Source organism: Homo sapiens, chromosome 4 (assembly GCF_000001405.40).
Source record: "Homo sapiens chromosome 4, GRCh38.p14 Primary Assembly".
Classification (NCBI taxonomy): Eukaryota; Metazoa; Chordata; class Mammalia; order Primates; family Hominidae; genus Homo; species Homo sapiens.
This window is the reverse complement of record NC_000004.12, coordinates 91,212,675-91,224,882: the sequence shown is the minus strand read 5'-3', so window position 1 is coordinate 91,224,882 and position 12,208 is coordinate 91,212,675. Positions and strand designations below refer to the sequence as shown.

Below are 12,208 nucleotides of genomic sequence, written 5' to 3'. Positions count from 1 at the left end.
CAACATCAAATCTATTGTTAAATTTGTTTTCTCACTGTAGTCTCTCACAAGGAATTTATTCATGGTTAAAAAAAATAGTAACAATGAGAAGAAATGATAGGAATTTGGAAAGGAAATATTCTCATGTTTAATGCCCAAATTATTTTAGCATAGGCTGGACACATTTATAAAGGGAGATGTTAGTGTATATTTGGAATGTAATGTTCAAAACTTACACTTGACCCTTTAGGTTTCCTAATTATTGATATTTTTGTCCTATGTGATATGAATTAGCTGTCCATATAGATAAGATTAAATAACCTGCCTTATTAAATTTAATTCAAACAATAAAATTAAAATTTCAGTTAGTCACGTAGTCATATTTCAAGTGCTCAGTAACCACATATGACTAATAGCACATACGAAAAGTGCAGATATAAAATATTTCCATTGTCACACAAAGACATTGGACAAATCTAAGAAGAATATGGAAAAATGTTTTCGTTTTTGCTTTTAGTCACAGACTTAAAGAATGAACATTAAACAAGGACCTCATCTCTTTGCCTCCCACAGTTTACTTACAATTTTGTTTTCTTTCTTCTTGTTAAAGTGCTGCATACTTTTGTATAAATTACCATTTCGTTAAATATATGTAAGCAGCACAGTAGATAAAGGTAGACCGATGCGAGTGGATTTGCAGCAATGCTAACTTGCATGCTTTAGCGAATTTGCTTTCTAAGCCAAGTAAGGTTTTGGTTTGCTTTTCCTCTCACATTAAGCGCGGGAGTTATTAATATTTTCAAGAACAGCTCAGTCACCGCACTATTTCTGCCAAAAAAAAAAAAAGCCACTTTGAGCAACTTCTGAAGTGCCTGAATTTAAGCCTTCCTTCCAAATATGAATATTGTTTGGAAATAATCTTTTAGTTATAAAAAGGTACCTTACTATTAATTTTTATACTCAATAAATATTTCATTTTTGAAAGGATGAACTTCATTGCATAGACAAAGTGCGTTCCAGAAAATGATAGATTGAATTAGCCAATACATCTGTGGTTGCTCATTTAACAGATGCAGACGTGATTGGTGTCTATATTATGAGTTTCTTAAGGATTTTCTCTATAACTCAGTCAGATTTATCCTATTTTATTAATAATGAAATCCAAACTCTTTGGACATCCTCAATAAATCCATTATGTGTCTCCAATCTTCCTTCTCAAATCTTCCCACCATTTGCCCTTGTATAGACCTATATACCTTCTCACTACCCATCCTCAGCTATGTTTTCCCTCCTAAAAACTATTTTTTCACCTTGCAAATTATCTGGGCCCTACCTAAATTTCAGTTATGTATTCTGAGGCCATCTGTGCCAGAGTGATTTTTCCCCCTTTGGAATTATTACAGCACTTACTCATTTTTAAGCACTTACTGATTTCTTCCTATCATATGCTAAAATTATTAATTCTTTATTATACTTATGTACCTTTTAAACCGACTTCTAGAGACCAAAAAGATTGCCTACATGTTTTTTTTTCTGTAGATACATTGGCTCAAAGTGTCTACATGTTTATGTGTTTTGACGATGATAGTGTATTGTCTACAATGCACTTTTCAGACATGTCTTCAAAATTTATTTGATTTCTAAACAAATAATATTTCTCTAAGGAAATAATACGAACTCACTATCTATTGCCTGCTCCTTGATATATTTTTACATTTTCTTTCCTGTTTGCTTGCTTTTTCTTTCATTTTGTTTTGTTTAGCAAAACTCATAAGATTTGAGACTGAAGGCATAATTTGAATTTTTTTAAGTTTTCCATTTTTTTGAGTATTCAATAAAATAAGAAAAAAACATTATTTTAAAGATTCAGTTAGTGATGTCAACTAATATCTTATAAATCAGGAAGATATCCAGTGTCCATAAGAAAATAAGAGATAGTTGTGATTTTTTTACACCAAGATAACATTGATAATATCTCTATTTTTCATAGGTACACTCTAAGGCTTTGCTCTCTGATATAGTAGCCACCAGCCACATGTGGCTATTTATTTTATATTCATTAAAATTAATTAACATTTAAAGTCAGTTTCCCAGTTGTACTAACTACATTTCCAGTGCCCAATAGTCACTGATGTCTAATGGCTATCATACTGGACAGCACAGAATGAATATTTCCATTATCACATACAATTTTGTTGGACAGCAGTGCTCAATGAATGGTTCTGCAATGCAAGGCAGTTTCCCCTAACACCTATTACTTCAGCCATCTTAGATACTAAAAAAACCCAGTAATTTGGCTTTAAAGTTGAATATAGAAAGGGAGGCCTTACCTGGGAAAGCATAAATATTATAATGGGAAGCTTATTTGAGATCGTTAAGCAAGCTCATCTGCACACAATTCTCAGGCACCAAAAGGTATAGTATGAGGAATAGATAAGTTCTTATAGAATACTAATTTCTAATCTTGTATTTATTGAACATTTTTACCTCTCTTACTTAAAGCTCTTTTGGCTACAAATTATAGAAAATAAATTGAGCTAAGTAAAAGGGGGGCATTTTAAGATTCAAAGAGGTTTTACAGAACTCAAGGGTGGCGATTATGGCTGTTGGATGCCTACTACACTCTCAGACTTTGTTTCAGTCTGGAATACGCCTCTCTCGGCTGTGCTCACCTTCCTGCATATGCTGCCTCCTTCTGCTTGTCTTGCAGAGCATAATCCGTGCTTCTTCATTCAGCCCTGAAAATCAGTTCACAGTAGCAGCCACACTTTCCCTCCCCCACATTTTCTCTCTCTCTCTTTATATATGTGTATATGTGATGGAGATAACACAGAATTAATGTATTTTTCCTCCTTTTCTTTGTAACAACATTATTGTGCATATTTTCTTCATAGAACATGCATTAGAGAATATATTTAATAGATTCAGAATATTCAGTTATAGTAAAACACAATTATTCATTATAATTTATTTATTTAACAATTTCCCTTTCGGACAATATGTTTTTGCCATAATTTGCTCTTATAAGTAATTATCCATAGTATACCCCATTTTTCTGAGCATAACCTTATCACACTGGACTCTAGCTATTTATTAATGGACTGTTTCCAGCATTAGAGCATATATATGAGTGCCGGGACTGTGTACAACTTGCTCATCTCTATACCCACAATGCTTGGCAGTGAACCTGAACATCTTTTAACCTCAATTTTAAACTTATGACTGAAATACCTATTAAAAGGGAGTAATTACTTTAAAGATCAGTTCGAACTATATGTGTTTGACCTGATGAAGTTATTATAATTTTATTAACAGATAAGCATATTTTTTATTTTCCAATCCATGCCTATGGGTTATTCATTCCATTGAAAATACACAAATATTAATTTTTCTCAGAAAATGTGCATAACCTTTTAAAGCTCTTAATATTATAACACTCTTTAATAAATGTGTATCTTGATCAATACTATCTATGTACTATAATAATAGAAATACAGGAAAATCTGAGTTACTAACTATGCACAGCCAAACAGAGGATTAGACTGTTTTCAATAAGGAAATTCATGATAACTTATTTAAAGAAATCATATTTATAGTAAAATAGCATTTACTTATTTCTTACACATAATCAAATAAATTGACTGCATTTTGTGGATAGTGAGATGTTAGAGGAAAACAACTATGTTATGATAGAAAAAATACAAGACAAATATAAATAAGAACTACTGGTAAGGTAATTACTAAAGACTGATATGAGTTTGAAAGGTTATATATGATGCTATGTAAAATAACATGAGGCCATCCTTCCAAAATGTTATATATTTTTATCTCACAGAATTTTAGGATTCTAAATTATCATAAAGGTAGCTTAATCCCTAGAGATTTTAGTTTATTTAACTAAATTAATATATCTGTATTGAATACGTCAGTTAATTTTTCAACTACACCATTTATCCTACATTTTCCGTACATATGACTTTTTCACATTTTGTTTTTTAAATTGTATGTATTTAAGGTGTAAAACATGATATTTTGATATATATGTATATATAGTGAAGTGCTTACTACAGTCAAGCAAATTAACATATGTATCATCTCATATAGTTATCTTTTTAAATTTTCCTTCTTTTCTTTCCTTTTTTTTCAGTAAGTGTACCTAAAACCTACTCTTTTGGCAAATCTATTTTCAGCACATCCCTCAGCACAACTGCTTGCAGGGTTATGTGAAGTAGGCCAAAAATAAAAAAAGAGAAAGACACTGCTACCGTTGTTGAACTAGTAAATTGCTCACTGAACAGTAAACTACTTACACAAAGAAAATTCCATGTACCAATTCCCTTTAACCCATATCACTTATTTCAGCTGTTTCTGAATTGTCACTCTTTTTGACACAGAAGACAGCTATTCCAAACCTTCATTGTATTCTAGCTCTTAGCAAACAGTGTATTTAAAGGAATTATTCCTGTTAATCACATAATCATAAAAAGTCAATTTTTAAATGTTCCATTAACTATATGATTGTTCAGGCAAAATAAATTCCTTGTCCCATCTGTCAGGTCATTGCCACCTTTTCAACGAGCACAGCAGCATGCAAGAAACGAGCATACATTTCCAGGGGCAATTCTTACTAGAATAACAAAACAAAAACTTCTTCTCAATTTATGACATTTAAAAAGACAGTAGTTAACAAGCAATGTGATGGGGATAAAAATACACTACCTGTGTACAATAATAATCTATCTGTCACTTGCTACCTTTGGCCTACGTTTTAACATGCCCAGTATAGTTCAACAGTTTCATTAAACCCTATGCTCTTCCCAAAAGTGACTCGGGAGGGAAGTGGTCAAAAGGGATAAACTGTGGATCTCCCATTCTCACTTGAACTAGAAGAACTCTAGGTTTAACTGATTTATATATGACGTTTTGAGTAAATTTACATTTTAAGAGAGGTTCTAAAAACACTGGTCAAATGAAAGTATGGGAAATACTCTACATAGAAATTTCTATCTATATAAATTTGTTTCTTTAAGACAGATATGAGAGACAGATACTAATCCTAACAATCATAGGTTTGTGATTAAAATTAATGGATTTAGGTTGGTAAAAATATATATTCTCCATAATTTTTATAAATATATTGTACTATTTTAGAAGCAGTAATCCTGATAAAAATATCATGTTACCAACAGGAATCTTTTGCCCTAAGTGAATGTAGCTCAGAGAAAGTTCTTGTGAATCTCTTCCTAACTTCCTTCTACCAAAAGCTTAAATACATAAATGTTACAATTTAAATTCAAACTGGGCTGGGCATGGTGGCTTATGCCTGTAATCCCAGAACTCTGGGAGGCCAAGGTGGTCAGATCACTTGAGGTCAGGAGTTCGAGACCAGCCTGGCCAACATGGTGAAACCCCATCTCTACAAAAATAGCCAGGTGTGGTGGCAGGCGACTGCAGACCCAGCTATTTGAGAGGCTGAGGCAGGAGAATCATTTGATCCCAGGAGGCAGAAGTTGCAGTGAGCCGAGATTGCACCACTGCACTCCAGCTGGGGTGACAGAGAGAGACTGTTTTAAAAAAAAAAAAAAAAAAAAAAAAGCCAAACTGTAAATATTGACTATTCACTTTTATTTGCCCAAAGAAAATTGGCCAGTGTAAAAATCATCTGTGAGATTGGACACATACTGGCTTTTATAACAATTATATTTGAAAATGAATTTTGAGATGTGTTTTTGAGGAATGATTAGAATAAATTTAAGAAACTTTGTATTACAGCCCATCAATTCAAATTAGCTTAAACCAAAAATATTTATACTACTGAAAAATTCAGGAATATTTAGGCTTGCCTGAATCTATGTGTGGGGAGGAGATTATTGGAACTCTTTCTCCCTCCATGTTCTGTCTTTTGTCTTTCTCTGTGTATGTTTAATACTTAATCAGGTGTTCTCTTTGTGGTAGCAAAATGGCCACAGTTGCTTTAGGTTTGTATCGTATTTAGTGTTGACATTACGTCAATTACCAAGAATAGGATTCTAATCACCCTGGTTGGTATACCTGTTAGTTCTGAATCAATCACAGTTTCCAGGAGTAGGTGATAAACAGATAGGCCAGTGTTGGTCACTTATGGTAATATAAGCAAGGCAATATTATCGATATTCTTACTGTGGGTGAAGGATCGATGCAAAGTATAGTGTCCTAAAGCAAGAGAAGGGCTCTGTCTTCACAACAAAGGGGAAAGTGCTAAGTATACAAGAACAACAGTTGTGCCCAACAATTCAATGAAATTTCCTCAAAGTACACTAGTGTTATGTATCATTAAGTTCTAAATAGTAAGCTTCTATAAAAATCAGTTTCATCAACTTTTAGTCATACTGAGAGGTGACAGCATGCTGGCAGTCGTCAGAGCCCTCACTTGCTCTCGGCACCTCCCCTGCCTGGGCTCCCACTTTGGCGGCATTTGAGGAGCCCTTCAGTGCCCCCACTGCACTGTGGGAGCCCCTTTCTGGGCTGGCCAAGGCTGGAGCCCACTCCCTCAGCTTGCAGGGAGGTGTGGAGGGAGAGGCACGAGCAGGAACCGGGGCTGCGTGCGGCCCTTGCGGGCCAGCTGGAGTTCCGGGTGGGTGTGGGCTTGGTGGGCCCCGCTCTCGGAGCAGCCAGCCAACCCTTCTGGCCCCGGGCAATGGGGGACTTAGCACCCGGGCCAGTGGCTGCCAAGGGTGTACTGAGTCCCCCAGCAGTGCCGGCCCACCGTGCTGTGCTCGATTTCTCGCTGGGCCTTAGCTGCCTTCCCACGGGGCAGGGCTCGGGACCTGCAGCCCTCCATGCCTGAGCCTCCCACCCACTCCATGGGCTCCTGTGCGGCCGGAGCCTCCCCGACAAGCACCACCCCCTGCTCCACGGCGCCCAGTCCCATCGACCACCCAAGGGCTGAGGAATGCGAGCTCACAGCGCAGGACTGGCAGGCAGCTCCACCTGCAGCCCCGGTGCGGGATCCACTAGGTGAAGCCAGCTGGGCTCCTGAGTCTGGTGGGGAGTGGAGAGTCTTTATATCTAGTTCAGGGATTGTAAATACACCAATCAGCACCCTGTGTTTAGCTCAAGGTTTGTGAGTGCACCAATGGACACTCTGTATCTAGCTGCTCTGGTGAGGATGTGGAGAACCTTTATGTCTAGCTCAGGGATTGTAAATACACCAATCGGCACTCTGTATCTAGCTCAGGGTTTGTAAATATGCCAATCAGCACCCTGTGTTTAACTCAAGGTTTGTGAGTGCACCAATCGACACTCTGTATCTAGCTGCTCTGGTGGGGCCTTGGAGAACCTTTATGTCTAGCTCAGGGATTGTAAATACACCAATCGGCACTCTGTATCTAGCTCAAGGTTTGTAAACACAACAATCAGCACCCTGTGTTTAGCTCAAGGTTTGTGAATGCACCAATCCACACTCTGTATCTAGCTGCTCTGGTGGGGCCTTGGAGAACCTGTGTGTTGAGACTCTGCATCTAACTAATCTGATGGGGAGGTGGAGAACCTTTGTATCTAGCTCAGGGATTGTAAACGCACCAATCAGCGCCCTGACAAAACAGGCCACTGGGCTCTACCAATCAGCAGGATGTGGGTGGGGCCAGATAAGAGAATGAAAGCAGGCTGCCTGAGCCAGCATTGGCAACCCGCTCGGGTCCCTTTCCACACTGTGGAAGCTTTGTTCTTTCCCTCTTGCTACTGCTTACTCTTTGGGTCCACGCTGCTTTTAAGAGCTGTAACACTCACCGTGAAGGTCTGCAGCTTCACTCCTGAGCCAGCGAGACCACGAACCCACCAGAAGGAAGAAACTACGAACACATCTGAACATCAGAAGGGACAGACTCGCGACGCGCCACCTTAAGAGCTGTAACACTCACCGCGAGGGTCCGCGGCTTCATTCTTGAAGTCAGTGAGACCAAGAACCCACCAATTCCGGACACAATACCCCCTAAATCTTGGCTTAATCAATTTCCTTCTCCCTCCCTTTCTCATATCAATATTGTTTGTGTTCCAAACAATAGCAAGAAGATAATAAGATGAAATCCAAGCGTATCAGTTTTATTTGCCCCTTTCACTCATTGGTAAAATGGACAAGTGGGTAAATTAACATAAATTAACATGTAAAGATTTAGTTACGAAGTATAAAAAGTACTATGAAAATGTAACAGGGTAAAATAATATAGGAAAGTATGTATCCTATGTGTAAGAAAGACTGCTAAGGGAAAGTCTCTTAAACATAAAAAAATAACAATAAGATGCTATAGGCCTGGCGCAGTGGCTCACGCCTGTAATCCCAGCACTTTGGGAGGCCGAGATGGGTGGATCACGAAGTCAGGAGATGGAGACCATCCTGGCTAACACGGTGAAACCCCGTCTCTACTAAAAACACAAAAAAATTAGCCGGGTGTGGTGGCACGCACCTGTAGTCCCAGCTATTCGGGAGGCTGAGGCAGGAGAATGGCGTGAACCCAGGAGGCAGAGCTTGCAGTGAGCCGAGATCGTGCCACTGCACTCCAGACTGGGCGACAGAGCGAGACTCTGTCTCAAACAAACAAAAAAATGCTATAAAGTCAGTGTTTCCCTACTTAATGCATCATGTTACTCATAAGAAAGTGATTAACATTTTATGCGCACTGTGATAAACTGACAAGAGAGCCAGCTCCCAGAGGCAGGCCTGGAGGAGGCAGGTATGGGAGGTTCTTCTTGACCAGCTGCAGGTCTGACAAATTACATCAGTTGGGAAGCTCAGTGTTGACATCTTGTTTGAAATATTCAAGCAGAAAATCTGGGAATGAGGTGAGATGTCAAATAAAGGTTGGTAACCCAATAAGCAAAAGTTTTGAGAAGGACAAAGTGTATGAGATTCAGAACACAGACCGCTTTTGTTACAAGAGGGAGAGGATCAAAACAGATGAACTCATATTTGAAATTTTGGTGGTGGGAAAATTAAGCAGTTTTCAAGTCCTCAGGGAGTTTGGCCACTTTGCAGATCCTCAAGGCACACACACAAAAATCCTGTTTTTTACTTATCATTGGATTTTAATAATAGCATAGATCATCATTGGGTTCTTCAGAATTAATGTACTTAATATGATGGTTGATATTGAGTGTCAATTTGATTGGATTGAAGGATGCAAAGTATTGTTCCTGGGTGTGTCTTTGAGGATGTTGCCAAAGGAAATTAACATTTGGGTCAGTGGACTGTGAAAGGCAGACCCACCCTCAAATCTGCGTGGCACCATCTAATCAGCTGCCAGCACAGCTAGAATAAAGCAGGCAGTAGAACATGGAAAGATTAGGCTGGCTTAGTCTGCTGGCCTCCATCTCTCTCCTGTGCTGGTTGCTTCCTACCCTTGAACATGGGACTCCAAGTTCTTCAGCTATGGGACTCAGACTGGCTATCTTGCTCTTTAGCTTGCAGACAGACTATTGTGGGACCTCACCTTGTGATCATGTGAGTCAATGCTCCTTAATAAACTCCCCTTTATATATACATCTATCCTATTAGTTCTGTCCCTCTAGAGAACCCTAATACATTAATAAATATGTATAGTATCTTTTTTAAAGGCATATGTACTTTATCAATTCCACTGGACTTTTTCAAGGAAAAATAAAAATACAAACACTATTTATCAGCTATCATTATTTCTTTCAAAGTAGTCTTACTCTTAAGTGTCTGAATAACAATAACTTTAGAAAATCGGTAATGTTTATCAAGGCTCACCATATATAGGTACAAAGGTATATTTTATCATAATAAATGGCATCTACTAATTAGTTAAATATTCTAATTAAAGTACACTGGATACCCTTTATATATAAATGGGTTGTTGATAATTAAAGAAAAAACAATAGATCCCTTAACTTCTAAAACTTTATTAAATCAATATTCATTTTCTGTAGACAAGAAGATATTTCAGAGTCTTGTAATTTCTCAATATTTCCATTGTGAATTTAAATTTCCATCATATTATACATATGGAGTTCCAGTTAACTGAATATCTCAATTCATGAAATTTCAAGTAAAAGGATTTAATTGACATGACATCTGAAATTTAATTAACAATTTTAAAAACAATTACTTTTGATATATAAATAGTCTTTCCAATAAGCCCTTGTTATAGCAAGTGGTAGGTGAAGAAATGTCTCATTTTCTTTTAAAAACGATTACTTCTAGAACAGATAATCTTGTTCCATTTATGGAGACTGACTTTTTTACTCATTCAGAATAGTAAATATGCTATTTTCCAAGCTCTGTTTTAACCAGAGTTGTTTCAACATGAACAAGAAAAATAGAGTCTGCTCACAAGTAGTTTCTAGTCTAGTGAAAGTAGAGAAGGAAATATGAACTATGAATAGGTAGAGAAATAAAAGAATTTTAAGTAGCATTCGGGAATATCAAGATAATATAACAGACTAATATGTTAGAGAATAATAAAGTAGGGAAGGAATCACAATAATTGGTTGATGGTCTCTTTATGGGCAAAAGGTACTGAAATTAAGTGATCACATATAGGGTGTTCGTCTAGGGTTTTTAAAATTATATCTCAAAAAGTAACCTATTACAAAAACAAATTGTGAGTTCATTAAATACCTACATATTTATGTGGGCACTTTAATCTCTGTGGAGTAAAGATTATCGAACTGGAGATAACTATTGTTTCATACATTGGTTAGGCAGATAGAATAATTTGAATAAGAAGAAATTCAAGTGTGGTTTCTCACTGACTCTTGCCTTGTTACCTGCTCTTCTTTAATAACTCTGGCAATCTTTTTGGTGACAGGAGGGAGGCAAAAGGCACAGGAGTGAAATTTATGTTCTCTTTTCTAATTCCAGAGAAAAGACCCCTATTCAACCCACATATAAGGTCTAGTTCTCTAAGTAGAGGAAAGGTTTTATTTATAACCCAAACAGACAAAACTTGTCTGGCATTTCCATAAATATAGGAATGTTGTTGCATGAGACAACATAACAAGCACAGTAATAACAGTTAGGGCTTTTCCATGGAAGAATCCACAACAATGTCGTGGTCCAGAGGGTGGAGAAAACATGACATACCAACCCACCAGTGATATAGGGAATAGGGGTGAAGCTCAACATCAGGTTTAGAAACTTGAGTTTCTTGACTTTATTAAAGGATCCCGTGTCTATTGCTACAATGACTTTATTGTCAAATTAATTTTGTAAATCCAAGTTGTAAATTCATTCTACAATTTTTATACTTCTTTGATTTTGCAGTTGAAAGTTGATCCTTAAATCAAATTTGTCCATTCTCCTCCCCACAAAAGCCTTGTGGACTTCTAGAAGCCTGCCACTTAAAGTGCAATGTCTACTTTACAGAGGACAAACATACTTCATTATTTAGCCAGAGGACAAGCATTCTTCATTATTTAGCAAAGAGTTCATTTGGAATGTTTACATGAATGGATGTTACCATTAACTTTTTTTTACTATATCACCATAAAACAACTTTGTAGACTTGAAGCTGGGAGACCTATTTTGGTAAAATTGTATGCTCCAAAGTAGACTCTAGGTTCTGTGAAAGCAGCACTACATCTCTGTTTTTCCCAGTACCCAGACAAGTCCCTAGAACAAAACAAAGTTAGATATTCACAAATAGTGAATAAATAAATGTACAAACATCCATATCAAAAGTTGAGACATTACATTAAAAAAAAATTCACTTGACGTAATGATCTCCAGTTCCATTCAAAGACATGGAATCAACCAAGGTGCCCATAAACAGTGGATTAGATTTAAAAAAGTGGTGCGTATATGCCATGTAATACTATGTAGCCATAAAAAAGAATGAAATCATGTCATTTGCAATAACATGGATGCAACTGGAGGCCATTATAGTAAGAAAATTAACACAGAAACAGAAAACAAACTACCACGTGTTCTCACTTATAAGTGGGAGCTAAATATTGAATACACATGGACATAAAGATAGCAACAATAGACACTGGGGGCTATAAGAGTAGGGAGAGAAGGAGGTGGGCAAGGGCTGAAAAACTACCTATTGGGTACTATGCTTACTACCTGTGTTATGGGATCATTCATATCCCCAAACCTCAGCATCATTCAATATACCCATGTAACAAACCTGCACATGTACCTCCTGCATCTAAAATAGAAGTTTAAATTATTTAAAAAAGGAATAAAAATTTCATAAAAAATACTTCAGTTTCTTTGTGGGTTAATTTA

At 37.0% G+C, this 12,208-nt stretch overlaps 1 protein-coding gene across 10 annotated transcripts in view; it reads right to left on the bottom strand.

Moving 5' to 3' along the window:
- CCSER1 (coiled-coil serine rich protein 1) overlaps positions 1-12,208 on the bottom strand; it is a 1,477,902-nt gene that overhangs the window by 380,413 nt on the left and 1,085,281 nt on the right. Inside the window, exon 12 of one of the 10 annotated variants that reach the window (XM_011531942.3) lies at positions 8,533-11,587. The exons of the other annotated variants lie outside the window; for them this stretch is intronic. Coding sequence (XP_011530244.1) covers positions 11,552-11,587 — 36 coding nt within the window. The 3' untranslated portion in view covers positions 8,533-11,551. Of the gene's footprint in view, positions 1-8,532; positions 11,588-12,208 lie in introns of those variants that run through there. 10 annotated transcript variants of the gene reach the window in all.